This window comes from Homo sapiens, chromosome 14 (genome assembly GCF_000001405.40).
Source record: "Homo sapiens chromosome 14, GRCh38.p14 Primary Assembly".
Taxonomy (NCBI): Eukaryota; Metazoa; Chordata; class Mammalia; order Primates; family Hominidae; genus Homo; species Homo sapiens.
This window is the reverse complement of record NC_000014.9, coordinates 55,152,736-55,177,349: the sequence shown is the minus strand read 5'-3', so window position 1 is coordinate 55,177,349 and position 24,614 is coordinate 55,152,736. Positions and strand designations below refer to the sequence as shown.

General features: G+C 39.1%; 1 protein-coding gene across 4 annotated transcripts in view; it reads left to right on the top strand.

Annotated features, from left to right (window-relative positions):
• Positions 1 to 24,614, top strand: part of DLGAP5 (DLG associated protein 5) — a 43,451-nt gene that overhangs the window by 14,236 nt on the left and 4,601 nt on the right. For all 4 annotated transcript variants that reach the window (NM_014750.5, NM_001146015.2, XM_017021840.3 and 1 more), the window contains exons 8-15: positions 14 to 288; positions 1,332 to 1,456; positions 1,878 to 2,004; positions 6,563 to 6,648; positions 7,791 to 7,951; positions 14,275 to 14,379; positions 18,609 to 18,828; positions 22,544 to 22,733. In NM_014750.5, coding sequence (NP_055565.3) covers positions 14 to 288; positions 1,332 to 1,456; positions 1,878 to 2,004; positions 6,563 to 6,648; positions 7,791 to 7,951; positions 14,275 to 14,379; positions 18,609 to 18,828; positions 22,544 to 22,733 — 1,289 coding nt within the window. The remainder of the gene's footprint in view (positions 1 to 13; positions 289 to 1,331; positions 1,457 to 1,877; positions 2,005 to 6,562; positions 6,649 to 7,790; positions 7,952 to 14,274; positions 14,380 to 18,608; positions 18,829 to 22,543; positions 22,734 to 24,614) is intronic.

Sequence of the window (24,614 nt, the reverse complement as noted above, 5' to 3'; positions counted from 1 at the left end):
ACTCACATCCTAGGGTATTTCTTGTAAAGTCGATAGTGAAGAAAATACTTTGAATTCACAAACTAATGCAACAAGTGGAATGAATCCAGATGGAGTCTTATCAAAAATGGAAAACTTACCTGAGATAAATACTGCAAAAATAAAAGGGAAGAATTCCTTTGCACCTAAGGATTTTATGTTTCAGCCACTGGATGGTCTGAAGACCTATCAAGTAACACCTATGACTCCCAGAAGTGCCAATGCTTTTTTGACACCCAGTTACACCTGGACTCCTTTAAAAACAGAAGTGTAAGAATATGATCTTAATAATAAGTCTCTTGCTAAGATGGGTAATAAATGCCTTTCTTTTTTTTTTTTTTTTTTTTTTTTTTTTCAGACGGAGTTCGCTCTGTCGCCCAGGCTGGAGTGCAGTGGCGTGATCTCCCCTCACTGTAAGCTCCGCCACCCGGGTTCACGCCATTCTTCTGCCTCAGCCTCTCAAGTAGCTGGGACTACAGGCGCCCGTCACCACGCCCGGCTAATTTTTTGTATCTTTAGTAGAGACGGGGTTTCACCATGTTAGCCAGGATGGTCTCGATCTCCTGACCTCGTGATCCGCCCGCCTCGGCCTCCCAAAGTGCTGGGATTACAGGCGTGAGCCACCGCGCCCGGCCAAATGTCTTTCTTATATTTGGTCTATGCTCTTAAAAAGTTATTATTAGTGAACTGTGTTAATTAGGAATCATGCAATTTTTTTCTTTAAAAAAAATTCTTCAGAAGGTACAATAATGTAATTGACAGTTTTTATATTTCCTATGCATTGTTATTTTCACTATACAATTTGGGTTTTTTGTTTTTAATAAATGACTTAATTATAACACATACATTTTTCAAAAGAAGAAAATTGCTATACTGCTTTAGCTCAGATACGACTTTTTCCTCATTTTCTTCTGGCTTAGTATTTAGAAAAACTGGCCCTGAAGACAAAAATGATTAATTTGCAAAACAAGGGAAAAATCAGTTGGAACCTTTAAAAGAAAAGGCAAGATCATTTTGCAAAGACTGGCTGGCAGCAAATATACTAAAAACTGCTCAGCAGCATCTAAGACTGTTAAGTGTTTATGTTCCATTAAGAAATCTTCAAAATCTTTGAATCTGATTACAATTAATTAGTAAAAATGGACATTCACACTATAGGTGTTTACATTTTCTCCCCTCCAGAATACACATTTTAAAAAAATAGAAACATTTCTATTTTAGCCCAGATCTACAAGTGACACAATTTTGAAACCCTTTATATTAGATATATGGAGTTCATGTTTCATGAAGTATATTTTTGCTATTGTTTTTAGTGATGAGTCTCAAGCAACAAAAGAAATTTTGGCACAAAAATGTAAAACTTACTCTACCAAGACAATACAGCAAGATTCAAATAAATTGCCATGTCCTTTGGGTCCTCTAACTGTTTGGCATGAAGGTATAGTATTTAATTAATTTATTCATTTTTTAGAATAATGTTAATACAAAAAATATTTTGCTTTCAGGTATAGTAATTACATTTTTACTTTTCTGGATTATTACTTGTCAGATTTGTTTGGAGCTCTTTTTCACCATATCATTTGGGGATGTGAACTCAGGGTCAGAAAAGACGGGAAAGCATGGGTAAAGATATCTGAAGAGAATATTGGAATGAAGAATACAGACAGAAGAGGGGAAATAAATGTAAATTTAAAGAAAAAATATTGAGAGCTACTTTAGAGGAAATGTGAAGTGATTGAGGCAGAAATAAAATTTTAAAATTAAACATTGAAAAGGATTTTTAAAATGTCTTTTTAGGGGCTGTCATTTTAGGAATTGTTGCTTTGAAATTTATATGTAAGATTTTCTTTAATTTATAGAACATGTTTTAAATAAAAATGAAGCTACTACTAAAAATTTAAATGGCCTTCCAATAAAAGAAGTCCCATCACTTGAAAGAAATGAAGGTCGAATTGCTCAGCCCCACCATGGTGTGCCATATTTCAGGTATGTCTGTGTGTTTCTAGTGTAAGAATTTTGTATTAATATCTAGACATTTAAAACCAAAACTAAAAATTTTTAACCTTAATATAGTGGGGGAAAACTGGTGTTAGGTGATTTTCACGTTTAAATTTTAATTATTTTTTTGATAACTAGTACATTCATGTGGTTCCTAATTCAAAGGGTAGGAAAAGGTACAAGTGAGAAGACTTCTTCTCAGCACTGTGACCCAACCACATAGTTTGAACCTTTCATGAAGGCAAGTGTTACTCATTTCTTGTGAATACTTCCATGGATAGTTCATGCATATGTAGACAAATATAACATGTACATTTTTTTCTTTTTTAAAAAATATGGACAATAGGCTGGGCGCGGTGGCTCACGCCTGTAATCCCAGCACTTTGGGAGGCCGAGGTGGGTGGATCACAAGGTCAAGAAATCGAGACCATCCTGTCTAACATGGTGAAACCCCATCTCTACTAAAACTGTAAAAATTATCCGGGCGTGGTGGTGCACGCCTGTAGTCCCAGCTACTCATGAGGCTAAGGCAGGAGAATTGCTTGAACCTGGGAGGCGGAGGTTGCAGTTAGCCAAGATTGCACCACTGCACTCCAGCCTGGCAACAGAGTGAGACTCCATCTCAAAATATATATATATCTATATACATATATATATCGGGGAATCTGCCCTGATATTCACGTAGGTTCTTTTCTGTTTTCCTTAAGCATTGGCCAGCTTGAGAAGTAAAGGGACAGAGTACAAAAAGAAATTTTAAAGCTGGGCATCCGGGGGAGACATCACATGTCGGTAGGTTCCGTGATGCCCCACAAGCTGCAAAAACCAGCAAGTTTTTATTAGGGATTTTCAAAAGGGGAGGGAGTGTGCGAATAGGTGTGGGTCACAGACATCAAGTACTTTACAAGGTAATAGAATATCACAAGGCAAGTGGAGGCAGGGTGAGATCACGGGACCAGGGCGAAATTAAAATTGCTAAATGAAGTTTCGGGCACCATTGTCATTGATAACATCTTATCAGGAGACAGGGTTTTGAGATCAACCAGTCTGACCAAAATTTATTAGGCGGGAATTTCCTCTTCCTAATAAGCCTGGGAGCGCTATGGGAGACTGGGGTCTATTTCACCCCTGCAGTTTCGACAGTAAGAGACGGCCACGCCCAGGGGGCCAGTTAAGAGACCCACCCCCAGGTGCGCATTCTCTTTCTCAGGGATGTTCCTTGCTGAGAAAAAGAATTCAGTGATATTTCTCCCATTTGCTTTTGAAAGAAGAGAAATATGGCTCTGTTCCGCCCGGCTCACCGGCGGCCAGAGTTTAAGGTTATCTCTCTTATTCCCTGAACAATCGCTGTTATCCTGTTTTTTCAAGGTGCCCACATTTCATATTGCTCAAACACACATGCTGTACAATTTGTGCAGTTAATACAGTTATTACAGGGTCCTGAGGTGACATACATCCTCCTCAGCTGACAGGATTAAGAGATTAAAGTAAGTAAAGACAGGCATAGGAAATCACAAGGGTATTGACTGGGGAAGTGATAAGTGTCCATGAAATCTTTACAATTTATATTTAGAGATTGCAGTAAAGACAGGCATAAGATATTACAAAAGTATTAATTTGGGGAACTAATAAATGTCCATGAAATCTTCATAATCCACGTTCTTCTGCCATGGCTTCAGCCAGTCCCTCCGTTTGGGGTCCCTGACTTCCTGCAACATGTATATATATATATAGAGAGAGAGAGAGAGACAACATATATCTATAGAGAGAGACAATATCATACAATACACACTATTCTGTTTGCAAATCAAATAGATGAGAAGTAAGTATCTCATTATAGTTTTACTATTCATTTGTTCTATTATAAATATACTTTTTGAGAGTGACTTCATTTCTTTCTTTTCTTTTGTTTTGAAATGGTTGCACTCTGTTGCCCAGGCTGGAGTACAGTGATGTGATCTCAGCTCACCGCAGCCTCTCTGTCCTGAGCTCAAGCCATCCTCCTGCCAGTGGGTGGCTAATTTTGGTGTGTGTGTGTTTTTTTTTTTGTTTTTTTTTTTTTTTGTAGAGACGGGGGTCTTATGATATTGCCCAAGCTGGTCTCGAACTCACAGGCTCAAGCGATCCTTTTGCCTCAGCCTCCCATACTGTTAGGATTACAGGCATGAGCCACTATGTCCAGCTTAATTTCTTTTTTAGAGCACTGGGTTTTAGAATTATAAGGGATTTTAGAGGTAGCTAATCCATTGTGTCATTCCACTGAGTTATTGAAATATTAAGCAATCTACCTAACTAGATAATGTCAGAACTAAACCATTTCTGCTATCTCTTCTTTTTTTTTTTTTTTTTTTTTTTGAGACGGAGTCTCGCTCTGTTGCCCAGGCCGGAGTGCAATGGCGCGATCTTGGCTCTTTGCAACCTCTGCCTCCCAGGTTCAAGCAATTCTCAGGCCTCAGCCTCCTGAGTAGCCAGGATTACAGGCGTGTGCCACCACACCCAGCTAATGTTTATATTTTTAGTAGAGACGGGGTTTCACCATGTTGGTCAAGCTGGTCTCGAACTCCTGACCTTGTGATCCGCTTGCCTCAGCCTCCCAAAGTGCTGGTATTACAGGCGAGAGCCACCGTGCCCGACCCTCTGCCTCCTTATTAATCGTCATGTTGTGTCATTGAATATGAACAACTCAAATTTTTTGTTTTTGTTTCTGTTTTTTGAGACAGGGTCTCACTCTGTCACCCAGGCTGGAGTGCAGTGTCTCGCTCTTGGCTCACTGCAGCCTTGACTTCCCGACCTCCCACCTCAGCCTCCTGAGGAGCTGGGACTATGTCTGTTTCTAGCGTAAGAATTTTGTATTTAAAAAAAATAAAAATAAAGAATTTTGTACTAATATCTAGACATTTAAAACCAAAACTAAAATATTTATAACCTTAATACAGTGGAGGGAAACTGATGTTAGGTGATTTTCATTTATCTTTTAAATACTTTTTTTTTTTTTTGTATTTTTTTTTTTAAGTAGAGATTGGTTTTCGCCATGTTTCCCAGGCTGGTCTGGAACTCCTAGGCTCAAGTGATCTGCCTGCCTCAGCCTCACAAAGTGCTGGCTGGAATTACAGGCATGAGCCACTGAGTCTGGCCCTAAATTTTTTTTTTTTTTTTTAAAGAAACAAAACCTGCCGGGTTCGGTGGCTCCCACCTGTAATCCCAGCACTTTGGGAGGCTGAGGCTTGCAGATCACCTGAGGTCAGGAGTTCAGGACTAGTAGCCTGGCCAACTTGGTGAAACCCCATCTCTACTAAAAATACAAAAATTATCTGGGCGTGGTGGTAGGTGCCTGAAACTCTGTACCTACTAAAAAATAACTCCCCATTCCTCAGCCATTCCCTCCTAGCCCCTGGTAAATACCATTCTACTTTCTGTCTCTGATTTTGACTCTGCTAAGTATCTTATTTAAGTAGAATTATGTAGTATTTGTCTTGTTTTACTGGCTTATTTCACTTAGCATAATGTCCTCAAGGTTCATTCATTGTAGCATGTGTCAGACTTTCCTTTTTAAGGCCGAATAATATTTCATTGTATGTATATACCACATTTTGCTTATCCCTTTGTCTGTCAGTGGACACTTGGGTTGCTTCCATGTTTTAACTGTTGTGAACAGCTATGAACATGGGTGTACAAATACCTCTTTGAGACCCTGCTCTAAATTATCTTGGGTGTATACCCAGAAGTAGAATTGCTGGGTTGTGTGGTAAGTCTATTTTTAATTTTTTGAGGAGCTGCCATACTGTTTTCTACAGTGGCTTTGCCGTTTTACATTCCCATCAACAGCATACAAGGGTTCCAGTTTCTCTACATGCTAGGATACTTTTTCCATAGACACAAATTAAACTTCTTTTAGGCCTGGGTTTCTCAATCTTAGCATTATTGACATTTTAGATTGTATACTTGTTGTGGGTATATATCCTATACATCGTAGGATGTTTTGTAGCATCCCTGGCCAGTAGCACTCCTCCAGTCATGACAATCAAAAATATTTCCAAACACCACCAAATGTTCCCTAGAATGGGGCAAAATTGACCCAGTTGAGAACCACTACCTTTAAGCAAGCAAAGCCTAATAATTAGGATCTGTGAGGCCCCATCACTATAATCCTGGGATTAACAGTTTTTAGCTTTAATTTACTCTTGACAGTTGAGTTGGCTTTAGTTTCATAGACAATGCTGAGAATCTGATGCACATTTAGGAATGTCTGACTTTGATCAACCTCTGAAAAAGAACAGAACAAACTAGAAATGTTAGCTTAAAAAGTAGGTTCTTGGTATTATCCAGCCACATAAGTTTTAGGTATAAAAGGATGTACATACAAAGGGTATCAACTTGTATTTATGGATTTTAATATATCACAGTTTATAAATAATTCAGTATCAACTTTGGGAAAATATTGTGGCTCCCTTTTATAACTTCCTAATGTTATGTATCATGATGTTATGCTAATACTTAGCTACTAGTGTAAAAACCACTTGTAGAACTGAAATGTATGTCATAATTTTAGAAATATCCTCCAGTCAGAAACTGAGAAATTAACTTCACATTGCTTCGAGTGGGACAGGAAACTTGAATTGGACATTCCAGATGATGGTGAGGCAACATTTGTATTTTTTGTTTGCTTTGTTTCTTTTACTATGGTTACGTTTATCTGAAACATAAAAATATAGCATTGCCTAACTTTATTGTTTCATTATCATTCAAAGTAGCAAGAATTTTTTCTTTTTTAACTTGATGTCTACAATAAAGTAGCAAGTGTTTTTCATATCTCAACATATGTTCCCTAACATCTGTGCTAAAATGGTATATAACTTAAAAGATGTAAGTAATTAGAATATTGACTGTCGTTCCTTTGACTTAGACATTTTTCTAACCAACCAAGCAAGTAACAGTGAATATTATTAGCTTTTTAAATATGACTTTATGGGTGATATCAATTGATATCTGATATTGTTTACACAAAAATATACTCTGAATGAAAATTACCTAAATCAATATGGAAAAGATTTTCTGAAGAGTTTCTTAATCTGATTTATTTGGGAAGCTGTTTAGAAAAAATTATGTGCTGTCAGTATGAAGTCCTTCTTAGATAATTATTTGCAGTGAGTTGTTTGACGTTGAGTTTTTTTTTTTTAATTTATTTATTATTATTATTATTTTAAGATGAGTGTTGCTCTTGTTGCCCAGGCTGGAGTGCAATGGCGCCATATCGGCTCCCTGCAACCTCTGCCTCCTGGGTTCAAGCGATTCTCCTGCCTCAGCCTCCCAAGTGGCTGGGATTATAGGTGCCTGCCACCAGGCCCAGCTGATTTTTGTATTTTTAGTAGGGATGGGGTTTCACCATGTTGGCCAGGCTGGTCTCGAACTCCTGACCTCAGGTGAGCCGCCCACCTTGGCCTCCCAAAGTGCTGGGATTGTAGGCATGAGCCACCGCGCCCGCAGGCATGAGCCACCACACCGGCTGACGTTGAGTTCTTATAAAGTACAACAAGAAGTAGAATGCTATTTAGTATATAGCAATATGTATGAGAAAATATTGTTAATTTTGAGCAGGAATTGAAGCAAATAGTTAGTACTCAGTATTTGTATGACAAAGTTTTGTGGTAGATATTTTTTGTTTTGCTTAACAACCTGTAGGCCCTAGGATGTTTGGAGTGAAGTCTTATCAGTGGGCTGACTTGCAATGAATGTCCCGTTTTGTCCTTTAATTTTAAAAAATCTCTTATTTCCTTCAGCTAAAGATCTTATTCGCACAGCAGTTGGTCAAACAAGACTCCTTATGAAGGAAAGGTTTAAACAGTTTGAAGGACTGGTTGATGATTGTGAATATAAACGAGGTATAAAGGAGACTACCTGTACAGATCTGGATGGATTTTGGGATATGGTTAGTTTTCAGGTATGTGGTTCAATATTTCAAATATATTAACTTAGGGCTTTTTTTTTTTTTTTTTTAAGTAGCAGGAGTAAAATGGGGTAATAGTAGCTGCTTATGTACCTGTAATATTAAATAAGATGTTATAAAGCACTTTGATAAACTGTAAAACATGATCTAAATTTTATGACTGATGTCCTCTTCTCCCATATATTCTCAGGATAATTTTTTTTTTTTTTTTTTTTTTGAGACGGAGTCTCACTCTGTCACCCAGGCTGGAGTGCAGTGGTGTGATCTCGGCTCACTGCTGTCTCTGCCCCCCAGGTTCACACCATTCTCTTGCCTCAGCCTCCCGAGTAGCTGGGACTACAGGCGCCTGCCACCTCATCTGGCTAATTTTTTGTATTTTTAGTAGAGACGGAGTTTCACCGTGTTAGCCAGGATGGTCTCGATCTTCTGACCTCGTGATCCACCCACCTCGGCCTCCCAAAGTGCTAGGATTACAGGCATGAGCCACCGCGCCCGGCCAGGATAATTTCTATATAGGTTGAAAACTGAAATTATTTTCAACTCTTTAATAGTCTATAATGATTCGACCTGTGAGAAATGAGTCAACTGGCCTTTGGTAGTTGAGTTCAGCTAACAGTTACTGAGTTCCTGTTGTGTGCCCGTATTGTATTAATCTCTTATTGTGTTAGGAGTATTGTATTAGGAGTTGATAAAATAGTGCATTCCCTGTCCCAGAGGAGTTTGTAATTTGATTAGTGACTGAGATACAAAATATAATTCTAACATATAAATTGCTGTGATAGAAGAAGTTACTAGGAAGATCAGTAAAGGTATGGGGGAAGATGACTCTAGCGTTTTGAACTTATTTTAGAAATAAGCATATAAAATAGCATTTCAAGAACCAACAGCCAACAATAGACATTGAAAAAAGCTTCAAACCTAAAAGAAAAAGGCCAAAGCAAACATCTAGGAAGAGAGCTATTTGGATGGACTTTTAAATGCAAGTATTCATATTCTCAAAGAGACCAGACGTTTCATCTGTCAAGTAAAAATACCTGTTAGAAAAAGAACATTCAGAGAATAAATAGCTCTTTGAAGTTAAGCAATATGAGAACAGAAATGTAAGATACAATAGGTAGAATATGAAGTTAAGGAAATCTCAGCCAGGCACAGTGGCTCAAGCCTGTAATCCTAGCACTTTGGGAGGCTGAGATGGGAGGATCACTTGAGCCCAGGAGTTCAAGACCAGCCTGCGCAACATAGTGAGAGCCCATCTCTACAGAAAATAAACTTAGCCAGGCATGGTTGCACATGCCTGTAGTACAAGCTGTAAGACAGAAGAGATTAGATAAGAAAATTACATGGACCAGTCCAGGAAATATAGCCAAATTATAGGAATTCCAGAAAAAGAGAACAGAAAAAAAAATTGGGGAGCAAGTGAACAATGAAGGAGCCTGTTGAGTGTTTAGCACTGAGTAGACCCACAGCAACTTACATAATTAGATACTGTTATGTAACTCTGGGATAAAGAGGGTAGGCTAAAGCATCCAGGGAAAGAAAACAAATTTTATACAAAGCATCAATGGTTAGAGTAGCATTGATCTCTCAACAGCAATATTATGAACTAGAACAATACTCTGAAAATTCTGAGGGAAATTAACTTCCAACCTGGATTTCTATACCGAACCAATCAAGCATGAGGGTGGAAAGGCAATTTTCAGACACACAAGATCTCAAAGTTCACCTCCTTCCATGTACCCTTTCTCAGGAAAATGAGAATGTCCTTCACAAAGATGAGAGAGTTACCCAAGAAAAGAGGAGAGTGGGCTCCATTCCCAGAAAGAGGCGAGACCCTGTCTCAACCAAACCAAAACCCTGAGCAAACAAAAAGCAAAACAATTATTAAGTCTAAAGAAAACGTTGTGAGGAAGGAAATGGAATCTCAGCAGCTGTATGGCCCAGACATGAATAGTGTTTAGTCATAATTAAGCATTACTTTATGATGAGTTTTTATATATTTACCAGTTTTCATAATAGTTGGTTCACTAGCACCCTTCAATTCTGATTGTTAGATTCTGTGGTGATTTTTGTATCATTATTAGTTGCAGATTTAAAAGTATGATATGTTTACATTGTTTATAGTCTTTTTTTTTTTTTTTTGAGATGGAGTCTTGCTTTGTCACCCAGGCTGGAGAGCGGTGGCGTGATCTTGGCTCACTGTAACCTCTGCCTCCTGGGTTCAAGCGATTCTCCTGCCTCTGCCTCCCGAGTAGCTGGGATTACAGATGCCCACCACCACGCCAGGCTAATTTTTGTATTTTTAGTAGAGATGGGGTTCGCCATGTTGGTCAGGCTTGTCTTAAACTCCTGACCTCAAGTGACCTGCCTGCCTCGGCCCCCAAAGTGCTGGGATTACAGGTGTGAGCCACTGTGCCTGGCCTATAGTCATTATCTTGACTGATGCTCATTTCCCAGCTTTGGCTTAGTGGGAGCCACTTCAAGTTGGCCATTGGGGCACTTTTTTTTTTTTTTTTAAACACAAAAGAGCTATATGAGGTATAATTTACATATGATAAAATTCATTCATTTGAAATGTACAGTTCAATCATTTTTAGTAAATTTACAGAGTTATGCAACCATCACCACAATCCAAATTTAGAATATATATATGTATTTTTTTTTTTGAGATGGAGTTTCACTCTTGTTGCCCAGACTGGAGTGCAATGGCACAATCTCAGTTTACTGCAACCTGTGCCTCCTGAGTTCAAGCGATTCTCCTGCCTCAGTCTCCCAAGTAGCTGGGATTACAGTCATGTGCCACCGTGCCTGTCTAATTTTGTATTTTTAGTAGAGACGGGGTTTCACCATGTTGGTCAGGCTGGTCTTAAACTCCTGACCTCAAGTGATCCACCCGCCTCGGCCTCCCAAAGTGCTGGGATTACAGGTGTGAGCCAGTACACCCAGCCAGAACATTTTCATCAGTATAAAAAGATGCCTCCTGCCTGTTTGCAGTCAATCCCCATTTCTACTCCTAGACCTAGGCAACCACTAATCTACTTACTGTCTCTGTAGATTTGCCTTTTTTTGGGATATTTCATATAAATAGAATCATACCTTATGGTGGTCTTTTGCATCTGGCTTCTTTCACTTAGCATCTTTCTGAGTTTTATCCATATTGTAGCTTGCCTTGTGTACTTCACACCTTTTTACTGCTGAGTGGTTTTCCATTGTATGGATATATCACTATTCACCAATTGATGGTCATTTAAATTGCTTCCACTTTTTGGTGATTATGAATAACCTGTGAATATTTCCACACAAATCTTAGTGTGGATGTATCTTTTTAAATTTCTCTTGGGCAGATGCCTAGATATTGGTAGGTCATATTGTAAATTTATGTTTAACTTTTTAAGAAACTGCCCAAACTATTTTCCAAAGTGATTATACCATTTTACAGTCCCACCAACAATGTATGAGTGTTCTGTTTTTCGACATCCTCACTAATACTTATTGTCTTTTTTATTATAGTAGCCCCCCCTTATCAGCAGTCTTGCTTTCTGTGGTTTTAGTTACCTGAGGTATAGTACAATAAGATATTTGGCAGGGAGGAGAGACCACATTCATATAACTTATTACGGAATATTGTTATAATTGTTCTATTTTATTGTTGATTGATGTCTATGCTTAATTTATAAATGAAACTTTATCATAGGTATGTATGAATAGGAAAAAACATATATATAGGGTTCAGTACTATCTGCATTTCAGGCATCCCCTGGGGGTCTTGGAACAGATTCTTTGAAGATAAGGGGGAATTGTTGCATAGCCATCCTAGTGGGTATGAGGTATCTCATTGTAGGGTTTTTTTGGGGTTTTTTTTTTTGTTTTTTAAGTCAGGGTCTCGCTCTGTCAACCCAGGCTGGAGTGCATTGGCACAATCTCACCTCACTGCAACCTCCACTTCCTGGGCTCAAACAACCCTCCTGCTTCAGCCTCCCAAGTTGCTGAGACTACAGGCATGTGCCACCACGACTGGCTAATTTTTATATTTTTTTGTAGAGGTGGGGTGTCATCATGTTACCCAGGTGGCCAGGTCTTACTCCTGAGCTCAAGCGATCCACCCTTCTCAGCCTCCCAAAATGCTAGGATTACAGGTGTCACCATGCCTGACCTCATTGTAGTTTTGATTTGAATTTCTCTAATGAGTAATGATATTAAGTATCTTTTTGTGAGCTTATTCGCCATTCATGTATCTTTTACTGAGATGTCTGTGTAAATCTTTTGCACCCATTTTTAAATTTCATTGTCTTTATTATTGAGTTTTAAGTATTCTTTATGTATTCTGGATAAAAGTCCCTTATGAGAAATATTATTTGCAAATATTCTTTGAGTTTGTAGCTTGACTTTTAATCCTCTTAATGGCATGTTTTGAAGTGCAAATATTTTTATTTTAAAGTTAAATTTATCAAATTTCTCTTTTTTTTTTTTTTTTGAGACAGAGTCTCACTCTGTCGCCCAGGCTAGAGTGCAGTGGCATGATCTCGGCTCACTGCAGCCTCTGCCTTCCGGGTTCAAGCAATTCTCATGCCTCAGCCTCCCGAATAGCTGGGATTACAGGTGCATGCCACCATGCCTGGCTAATTTTTGTATTTTTAGTAGAGATGAGGTTTCACTACGTTGGCCGGGCTGGTCTTGAACTCCTGACCTCAAGTGATCCACCTGCCTCTGCCTCCCAAAGTCCTGGGATTACAGGGGTGTGCCACTGCACCCGGCCATTTTTTTTTTCTTTTATGTTGTGATTTTGACACCACATCTAAGAACTCTTACCTAACCACAAGTCACAAAGATTTTCTCCTGTGTTTTCTCCTAACAGTCTTACGGTTTTAGTACTTACAGTTAAGTCTATGATCCATTTGGTTAGTTTTTGTGTATGGTATGAGATTGTGAGTCTAAATTCATCTTTTTGCTTATGGATAACCAATTTTCCCAGCACTGTTTGTTGAAAAGACTGTCTTTTCCCCGCTGAATTGTATTGGCACCTTTGTTGAAAATCAGTTGGTCATGAGTGTAATTCTGAGTCATTTTGACATTTACTTTTTTTTTTCCTTTGAGATGGAGTCTTGCCTTGTTGCCCAGGCTAGTCTCGACCTTCTCGGTTCAAGCAATCCCCCTGCCTCAGCCTACCAAGTAGCTTGGATTATAGGCATATGCCACAGTGCCCAGAGACATTTACATATTTTTGAGGGAGAGCAAAGCTAAGAGGATATGTGTGTATAAGTGCATAGCATGGAGACTAAAAGCATGGTTACCAAACTGTTGTCAGTGGCGTAACTCTTCGTAGGAGACTGGAAGTATCAGAAAGATGGGGATTATATTTCCATCCTATTAAATACACTTGTATCTTTTAAAATGAGATTATGTCAAGAAAATGAGAAGACAAGGCACAGATTCGGAGAAATATTTGCAAAAGATGTATCTGATAAAAGACTGTTATCCAAAAGATACAAAGAGCTCTTAAAACCCAGCAAGAAGGAAACGAACAACCCAATTAAAAATGGGCAAAAGACCTGAACAGTTACCTCACCATAGAAGATATACAGATGGCAAATACGCATATGAAAAGATGCTCAACATCATATGTCATTAGTGAACTACAAATCAAAACAACAGTGAGATACTACCACATACCTACTAGGGAACAGTGAAAATTCAAAACACTGCCAACAGCAAGTGCTGGGGAGGGTATGGAGCAATACGAACTTTCCATTCATTGCCTATGGGAATGCAAAATGTTATATCCACTTTAGAAGACAGTTTGGCAGTCACTCGCAAAACTAAACATACTCCTACCATACGATCTAGCAATTGCGCTCCAAATGAGTTGAAAACTTATGTCCATATAAAAACCTGCACACGGATGTTTTTAGCAATATAGCAGCTTTATTCATAATTGCCAAAACATGGAAGCAACCAAGATGTCCTTCAGTGGAGGAATGGATAAATAAAAAAAAAATTAGATTGTGTTCACATTGTGTAATTTAAGAAACAACATTTAGGATATCTTTTCTACCATTTTAGCATTTTAGTCAAAAATAATCTAGGAGAGTTATTCATGTATGATATTCTTTATGTAGATTTTGGAGGTTTGTAAGACGAAAGATAATGAAAAACTTTACCATAAAAATTATTTGAACACTAAATTGAGAATGACTCAGTCCAGTTTTAATAACTCATCATTTCTGAATCACTATTTTTAATTTTTTTTTAGTCTTCAGCTCATTCGTTTATAACTTTAATATGGCTAGCATTAATCTGGTAAACTTGTGCTTTATTAACAGATAGAAGATGTAATCCACAAATTCAACAATCTGATCAAACTTGAGGAATCTGGGTGGCAAGTCAATAATAATATGAATCATAATATGAACAAAAATGTCTTTAGGGTAAGTTTGTGGGTTTTATATCCAATTTTTTTTTTTTTAGTTAAGGAACTGTTATACATACATCCAAATTTCTAATATAGATTCTTCTACTTCTTGTTTTTAAGTTTTAAAAACATTTAGGTTTAGATTTCTCATTATTTTACAAAGTTAAGTCTTTATACTACTTAGAGTGTACTTGATTGCCTTTGAAGAAAGAGCAAGGAAATCGATCAACATAAAATTTAGGATAGTTATGTCTAGAGAGAAGAAAGGAGGGGCTGTGATTGAATTGGGGTACCCAGAGGGCTTCTAAGTTACCACATACTGGATATATGAGTGTTGGTTTTATTCTTCTTCTTCTTTTTTTTTTTTTGAGATGGAATCCCGCTCTATCACCAAGGCTGCAGTACAGTGGCGTGATCTCAGCTCACTGCCAGCTCCGCCTCCCGGGTTCACGCCATTCTCCTGCCTCAGCCTCCCAAGTAGCTGGGAATACAGGCGCCAGCCACCACACCCGGCTAATTTTTTGTATTTTTAGTAGAGACGGGGTTTCACTGTGTTAGCCAGGATGGTCTCCATCTGCTGACCTCATGATCCACCCACCTCGGCCTCCCAAAGTGCTGGGATTACAGGCATGAGCCACCGTGCCCGGCCTAAAGGTTTTATTCTTTAAACTGTACTTACACATTTTGTTATAATAGTAATAGTAGTAGGTAACTTATATAATGCTTAGTATGTGTCAAATATTATTCCAATTACTTTATATATATTAATCCTTACAACAGTCGTATGAAATGGATGCTGTTATTCTTGTGCTTTGTTAACATGACAGATTTTGTTCTTGTTTCTAGTAATTATCTTTCTAGTAATGTTTTTGAATTCAAAGTTTTTGGTTTGGGTGGACACTTTTCAAACTAAGCATTGTCAGTTTTTCTTTATGATATGAGAAAAATGCCTGTAGTTATAAACTCAGGTTGTCTAGATTGGTATTTTATTATACTATGTAATCCAAATAAAAACTGTCTTAAATCCTATCTTAAGAGTTTAACTTGTTAAAGTATTGTTTTTTAAACCTTATTTTTAAAAAATTCTTTTTTTTTTTTTTTTTTTTTTTTTTGAGACAGAGTTTGGCTCTTTTTGCCCAGGCTGGAGTGCAGTGGCGTGACCTTGGTTCACCACAACCTCTGACTCCTGAGTTCAAGTGATTCTCCTGCCTCAGCCTCCAAAGTGCTGGGATTACAGGCATGAGCCACTGCGCTCGGCCTTAAAAAATATTTTACTAGGCCAGGCACAGTGGTTCACGTCTATAATCCCAGCACTTTGGGCGGCTGAGGCGGGCAGATCACCTGAGGTCGGGAGTTCGAGACCAGCCTGACCATCGTGGAGAAACCCCGTCTCTACTAAAAATACAAAAATTAGCTGGGCGAGGTGGCGCATGCCTGTAATCCCAGCTACTCAGGAGGCTGAGGCAGGAGAATCACTTGATCCTGGGAGGCAGAGGTTGTGGTGAGCTGAGATCACGCCATTGCATTCCAGCCTGGGCAACGAGCAAAACTCAGTCTCAAAAAAAAAAAAAAAAAAAATTTTTTTTTTACTAATAAAGTCTCATGACAAGGACCCTGAGGACAGTGACTAAATTGATTGAATGGATTTCAAAACTACTAAATAGTGAAGGATGCTACTTCATTATTAAAGCTACTGTGGGTATTTCTTATTAAGGATTTAGTCCTGGAAATATTAATATCATCAGTGATGCAGATCATGGCTATGTCCTATAGAGATTTGTAATTCTGCCTGTTATCACCAGGTGTCTCTCTCCTACTTTATTTTATAGGCTACCTTTAAGATTATCAAACAAAGCTAATCTTTTATACTATACTTGGATACCACTCCCTACTACCTCTTATTTATTAATCCCTCATTCCATCAGTTAGTCTTGTTTTCCTTTCCTCCCTTTTTTCCATCAGTCTTTAAACATGTTTAAGTGTCTTATCATTGTTTACATTAAAACAAACCTGTGGTGTCTGCTTCTCCCTTTAATTACTTGTACACCCCCATTTTTTCTTTCTATCCAGTCACTGACAAGCATCCTAAAATGTTTTCTATACTCTATTATTTTTGTTCCTTTATTTCTCCAACTCATTGCAATTCAGTTTTACCCCCCTATAACTTTAGAATAGTTATCTAAATTATTAATCCACTAGTTGCTTAAGTTATTAGGCACTTAATTTTAAATTCTAACTCTTCTAGGCCAGGCGTGGTGGCTTAAGCCTGTAATCCCAGCACTTTGGGAGGCTGAGGCAGGCAGATCACCTGAGGTCAGTTCAAGACCAGCCTGGCCAGCATGGTGTACCCTGTCTCTACTAAAAATAAAAAATTAGCCAGGCATGGTGGCGGGCGCCTGTAATCCCAGCTACTCAGGAGGCTGGGGTAGGAGAATCACTTGAACCCGGGAGGCAGAGGTTACATTGAACCGAGATCATGCCACTGCACTCCAGCCTGGGCGACACATCAAGACTCTCTCAAAAATAACAAAAAGTAGTAAATAAATCTAACCTTTCTGCAGTATTAAATATGGTCTACTTTTTTTTTTTTTTTATATAGAGTCTTGCTGTGTTGCCCAGGCTGGAGTACAGTGGCGCCATCTCGGCTCACTGCAACCTCTGCCTCCCAGGTTCAAGCTGTTCTCATGTCTCAGCCTCCCAAGTAGCTGGGATTACAGGCGTGTGCCACCACGCCCAGCTAACTTTTTTTCTTGTATTTTTATTTTTGTATTTTATTTATTTTTTGAGATAGAGTCTAGGTGTGTGGCCCAGGCTGGAGTGCAGTGGCACAATCTTGGCTCACTGTAACCTCAGCCTCCCAGGTTCAAGCAATCTCCCACCTCAGCCTCCTGAGTAGCTGGGACTACAGGCATGTGCCACCTTGCCCAGCTAATTTTTTGTATTTTTAGTGGAGCTGGTGTTTCTCCATGTTGGCCAGGCTGGTCTGGAACTCCTGGCCTCAAGTGATCCTCCTGCCTCAGCCTCCCAAAGTGCGGGGATTACAGTTGTGAGCCACTGTACCTGGCCTACTTCCTTGTTTTTGAAATTATATTTCCTTCTTCTTTGCCTATTCTTCAGTCATATTTGCATATTTGTTTTCCATTTATCCCTTAAATGTTTTTGTTATTTAGAATTCCTACCTCTACTCTCTTCTTTCCTTCCGTAATTTTCCTGTGCAATCTTACCCAACCTGTGATGATTCTCAAGTCTGTATTGCAGACCACACTTACTAAGCTCTAATTCTATATATCATGACTCAATATACCTTAAAAATCAATATATCCCAAACTGACAGCATCTCCACACACACCAATGTTGCCCTGTCTCATAATGCTGTTACCATCCCACCAGGTGTTCAAGATAGAAGTCTCAATATCTCTTTTGAGATATCCTTTTGAGCGATACCCTTTGCTTGCTTTATTTCACCATCTCCACCCCACACACATCCAATAGATGAGTAAGTCCTCTCAATTCTACCTTTCAAATATCTCTTGAATCTGTCCACTTTTTTCATCTCTTACTCCTTAGTCTGAGTGATCTTTCTAAAACACCAGCTTGATGTTAATCTTCTGCTTAAAAATTACCAATAACTCTCTGTTCCCTTGTCCTCTGTGTAAATGTGACTTTCTTAAGACCATTACATGCAGGTGATTTTTATTATAATCTAGCTATTGTTTAAATCCACTTTTCTTTGTTTCATTTCTGGCTTTGGAAACATCTCTCTAGCACTTGCCTCACCCCATCTTTTAGTTTGATGAAATATGGTTTCAGCATAGGTGCTACTTCCTACAACCTTTCCTGATGCCTGAAGATTGGTTTAGGTGTCATCCTTATTTATTTTCTTTTAATGTTTTACTTTTTTTTTATTTACTTTTTTTGCTTTTTCTTTTTTATGGGGGGGGGGTGTCATGGTTATAATCTAAAGGATGTCCCCTAAATTTATTTCTAACAGGACATTTATCCTTCTTACTATTCTTCCCAGATCTTCTACTAAGCTGCAAACTCCTTGAGGGCAGCAACTCTGTCCTTTACCTTTTTACCTTTTAGCACATACTAGGAACTTGATAAATATATGATGAATGTGAAATATTTTATGTATACTTTATTTTTAAAAATTAAATTTTTAAGTGATGAATTTGTGTTTGTTGTGTGTTTTTCTTGTAAGATGGTAATGGGCAGCTTTACTATGTTAGTTTCTCTTTGCAGAAAAAAGTTGTCTCAGGTATAGCAAGTAAACCAAAACAGGATGATGCTGGAAGAATTGCAGCGAGAAATCGCCTAGCTGCCATAAAAAATGCAATGAGAGAGAGAATTAGGCAGGAAGAATGTGCTGAAACAGCAGTTTCTGTGATACCAAAGGAAGTTGATAAAATAGTGTTCGATGCTGGATTTTTCAGAGTTGAAAGTCCTGTTAAATTATTCTCAGGTTAGTTGTTTTTGATTTTTTATTTTTTTTGTTTTTCCTGAGACTACTTAAGAGAAATATTTGGGATAGATGGGGGCTTGTGTAAGGTGAAAAATAGTTTTTTACATGAAGAGACATAAGTTTTTCTGTGATTTTTAGAAAATAGACTATGCTCGCTCACAAACACTGTAAATCACATTTTGATGGGTATGATCAGATTAGTTTAAGTGCGATAAGTCTTCTAAGATTGCTTTTCTACTTTCTAAGTGATTTCACATCTGTAATGTAATTACCATGTAACCCTACAGTCTATGAGAAAGGTCACAGGATCCCAAGAGGTAAGAGAAATGACGGAAGCATGAAGAAGTAAACTGATTTTCTTCAGGTCAGTTAGAAGTTTGGTTAGAATTTATAATGCAAAGGAAACTTGAGCATCCAGCTATCACACTTGTCTAGCTGTGCTTTAAAATGAAGCTTATGTGCTGTGTGTGTTGGTTCATGCCTATAATCCCAGTACTTTGAGAGACCAAGGCAGGAGGATCACTTGAAGCTAAGAGTTTGAGACCAGCCTGGGCAATTTAGTGAGATCCCCTCTCTACAAAAAAATAAAATATTAACCGAGCCTGGCAGTACATGCCTGTAGTCCCACCTACTTGGGAGGCTGGGGCAGGAGGATCACTTGAGCCCAGGAGTTCAAGGTTACAGCGAGCTATGATTGTGCCCCTGCACTCTAGCCTGAGTGACAGAGCAAGACTCCATCTCTAAAAAATAAAAGGAAGTTTATGCAAAGTGGATTTGGTTTTATTTGCATTTGTATTAAAACTTTTGCTCAGATCTTTTTGAAAGGTAGTAAACGTACTAATTTTCCAATTTAAAAATATTCCAGTAAAAGCAGTTTTTAATATTCAGGAAATCATTTTTTTGTGATTTTCTCACAGTGTTTGTCATAGCTTTTTTTTCCACAGACTATTTTTCTTGAATTGAATTTATCTCAATTGAAATTATTTATTTATAAGCCATAGATGTCCACCAGGAAGTTTTTTCAAAGTAAACCTAAATTGTTCTCTAATACCTGCTATCTGATATTTATAGTGATCCTCAAGTATATTATAATATTCTTGTTAGTTTAGGTATCAAATCTGGTGTACTTTTGTTTCCTTTAAGCAGCTACACTCCCTGGATACCCAGGAATCTCCCACTACTGCTAATAACATGACTCCATTCTACTACTTGTCAAGGATCTTCGTGGTTTTTACAGCTATAAGCTCATCATTCTGTTCTTTCATATACTCAACTCAGTCCTTATAGATAGGGAGATTAAGGTTTATGGCAAAAATTGGTCATTTAAAATTGAGTTTTAGTTACAGAGCACATAGTTGATATGAGGCTAATTACAAAACAGTAGTCCCTGAAGAAGCCCTTCTCATTCCATTTGCCAATCCCTAGAAGCAACTACTTTCAATTCTTACTGGAGTCTTTTGGACTTACTGGAGTCTTACTGGAGTTTTGTTGTTTACCACCATCTCTCTTGACAAGGTTTGATCTTTTTCAAAAACACATTTTTCTTCTGGTAGACTTTTTAATCTTTCTTTCCTGTACTTACTGTTTTCTTCTACTTCCTGGAGATTTCCTCAACTTTCATGCTGGCTATCATGTTTTTAATTCCCAAGAGCCCTTTCTTACTCTCCAAATGTTCATTTTATAACATTCTGCACTTGTTTCATCAGTGTATTGTTTTATCTTTCCAAGGATATTAATGATAGCTTTTATGTTTTCTTCATCCACTATAGACAGTATTTGTTTCAGGGTACTTTCATCTAGTTGTTTTTGGTTTCTGTCTCTTGTATTTAGAGGCTTTCCTCGGGAATCTGGTGATCTCTCACTGCCTGCACATGGTTAAGAATAGGGCACTAAAAAGCTGACTGGAAACTCTCTGCACATGGGTAGGACCTTTACTTTCGGGGCCCTTCTGTTAGCGGGGCCATTATGCTGGGAACCTACACATCACTGCATTTAAGACTTTTCTCATAGTCTACTCAGATTCCCCAGAGAAGATGCTTTCCATCTGCTTCCTGGAAGGTATCATTCTGGCTGCCAGTCTTTCAGGAGCCATGTAGGGGAAGAAAGCTAAGTGTCTCAACACTTTGTGTAAATATTCACTTATTTCCCTTATTTTCCATGTAGTACCCTGTCTCTCAACTGTATCTGGTATCCTCTAAACCAGAGACCCTTCTGTTTTTGGTGATGGGGGTGGGTGATGACAGTTGCTTTGCTGTGCAGAATGAGGAAAGGAATCTGAGCTCTTCTTGTTTAAACTGACTTTGAGCCATTCCTTCTGTGTTTAGCTCCATTTTCATCTCCACTTGCAGAGATACTTGGAGCCACCAGTTCTTTTGAGGGGTTATGTGGTAGAAATTGGGTTGATTCTCATTTTTCTTTCTTTTTTTTTTTTGAGGCAGAGTCTCACTCTATTGCCCAGGCTGGAGTGCAGTGGCACGATCTCAGCACACTGCAAGCTCCGCCTCCTGGGTTCACGCCATTCTCCTACCTCAGCCTCCCAAGTAGCTGGGACTACAGGCGCCTGCCACCACACCCGGCTGATTTTTTGGTATTTTTTTAGTAGAGACGGGGTTTTACCATGTTAGCCAGGATGGTCTCGATCTTCTGGCCCCGTGATCCACCTGCCTCAGCCTCCCAAAGTGCTGGGATCACAGGCATGAGCCACCGCGCCCGGCCAATTCATTTTTCTTGATTGGTGGCTTAGAATTAGTTTTCTTGAGTCTGCTAAGTCCCACTCAACAATCTACATTATAGCTTCCAAAATATTGTTATTGTTGCTATCTCTTCTTTAGTTTCCTTTGTCCTTGTAGAGTTCTGCTTTTTAAGATTATCTGTGTCCAGGCACGGTGGCTCACACCTGTAATCCCAGTACTTTGGGAGGCTGAGGCAGGTGGATCACCTGAGGTCAGGAGTTCGAGACCAGCCTGGCCAACATGGTGAAACCTCATCTCTACTAAAAATACAAAAAATTAGCCAGGCGTGGTGGCGGGTGCCTGTAATCCCAGCTACTCGGGAGGCTGAGGCAGGAGAATCACTTGAACCCAGGAGGCGGAGGTTGCAGTGAGCCAAGATCATGCCATTACACTCCAGCCTGGGCAACAAGAATGAAACTCCATCTCTAAAAAAACAAAAACAAAAAAAAAGGTTATCTCTGTTCAGGCCTGGCGCAGTGGCTCACACCTCTAATCCCAGCACTTTGGGAATCTGAGGCAGGTGGATCACCTGAGGTCAGGAGTTCGAGACCAGCCTGGCCAACATGGTGAAACCTCATCTCTACTAAAAATACAAAAATTAGCCAGGCGTGGTGGCATGCATCTGTAGTCCCAGCTACTGGGGAGGCTGAGGCAAGAGAATCACTTGAAGCTGGGAGGCGGAGGTTGCAGTGAGCCGAGAGATCACACCACTGCACTCCAGCCTGGGTGACAGTGTAAGACTCTGTCTCAACAACAACAAAAAAATTATCTCTGTTCATGTAAAAGTAGTGGGATGTCAAAAGGAAGCAGCATCTAATATGCATTTAAATACTATCTTTAACAGAAAGTCCCAGGCATTTGTCTTTAACAGACATTATTTGACAGGAGAAAGAGGCTAATTGATAGGATTTTCACCGTATTCCTAGTTATAATGAAAAGCAAAAGAACTATTTGGTATTGAGGTGATTTCTCTCATCTTCTAGGACTTTCTGTCTCTTCTGAAGGCCCTTCTCAAAGACTTGGAACACCTAAGTCTGTCAACAAAGCTGTATCTCAGAGTAGAAATGAGATGGGCATTCCACAACAAACTACATCACCAGAAAATGCCGGTCCTCAGAATACGAAAAGTGAACATGTGAAGAAGACTTTGTTTTTGAGTATTCCTGAAAGCAGGTATTTCTTTAACATGTTAATAAGAGTTTAACAGTTGCTGATACTAAATACCATTTCAGATTGTTAAGATGGTAAAAGGTGCCAGACATATATTTTTAATAAATTTCATAATGACCCTGCAACATATAGGCAGTACTCCCTTTTTATAAATGAGGAAACTAAAGCTTAAGGTTTCAGGATACTAAATGGTCACGTTTAGTTGGGTAAATTCTGCAGCAGTAAGAAGAAAAGAAGCAATATGGTATCCTTTGGTGCTAAACATACTACAACTTTGGTGCTCAACAGTTCTGAGCTGAGAAGAGCTCTGTGACTTACTAGCTATGCAACTTTGGGGCAAGTAATTAATTCTCTTTAGCTTCACTTTCATCATCTACAAAGCAGCAGTGCTAATGCCTCCCCAAGGTGGTTGAGAGATGGACACTTTTTACCAGGCTTTGTAGAAAGTACCTTGAGATTGTTTTCTTGACAGATGGCAGAGCATATTGAAGGGGGGGGAGTTAATGTGTACTGAACAACTGTTATGGGCTAGATATGCTTCTAGATTTTTTTGTTTGTTTTTTGGAGGTGGAGTCTCACTCTGTTGCCTAGGCTGGAGTGCAGTGGTACGATTTCGGCTTACTGCAACCTCTGCCTCCTGGGTTCAAGCGATTCTTCTGCCTCAGCCTCCCGAGTAGCTAGGACTACAGACACGCGCCACCACGCCCAGCTAATTTTTGTATTTTTAGTAGAGACGGGGTTTCACTATGTTGGCCAGGATGGTCTTGATCTCTTGACCTCATGATCTGCCAGCCTTGGCCTCCCAAAGTGCTGGGATTACAGGCGTGAGCCACCATGCCCGGCCTACTTTGTATATCTTGTAGTTTACTATTGTTTGCTAAGAAGATTCATAATTGCATTTGAGTCATAAGTACTCTTTAAAAATGTTTTGGATTCCCCAAAACATCCTCAAAGGGCATCATACAAATAAGCAACTTTGTGTAATAAAGGCAAAGTAAAGCTGGACACTAGAAAAATAGAGCATATCTTTTTTAAAAAGTAACTTGAAAGAAGTGGAGATAAATTTTTTTTTTTTTTTTGAGACGGAGTGTCGCTCTGTTGCTGAGGCTGGAGTGCAGTGGCACTACCTCGGCTCACTGCAACCTCCGCCTCCCAGGTTCAAGTGATTCTCCTGCCTCAGCCTCCCAAGTAGCTGGGACTACAGGCGCATGTCACCACGCCCAGCTAATTTTTTGTATTTTTAGTAGAGACGGGGTTTCACCATGTTAGCCAGGATGGTCTCAATCTCCTGACCTCGTGATCCACCCGCCGCTGCCTCCCAAGTGCTGGGATTACAGGCGTGAGCCAAGGCGCCTGGCCAAAACAGATATTTCTAATAAGATACAAGCTAGTAACTTCAGGATTAGAATACCTTGTATTCTAACTCAATTATTGTCTAGCTGGAGTTAGCTACATTTACTTGTTAACAAGCAGCAGACTTAAGAACATTGTAACTCCTGTTCCGCTTTTTGAACTTTCGGATAAAATTATAGAAATAGTATGATTGAAGTCAAGTTTCTTAGCAGGTACCTGGATTAACAAGTAACGAGTAAATGTAGCTAACTCCAGCTAGACAATAATTGAATTGTTGCTTCTGTCTCCAGAAGTCACCTTCTTTTTGACTTTTCTTTAATATATAGCTCTGGATTTGGCTGAGATTCAGAGTATTGCTGGTAGAGCCACCTGACCCTGACTGACCACCATGGTAACAGACTTGTGAGCTTTCTGGGGAAGAATGCATTTAGTTTGTAAGGCCATCCTGCAGTAGCTATAGTCCAAAACTAATCTATCTGGATCACGCCTGATCTTGCACCAGGCTCCATGTTTGATCCATTCCCTAAACTA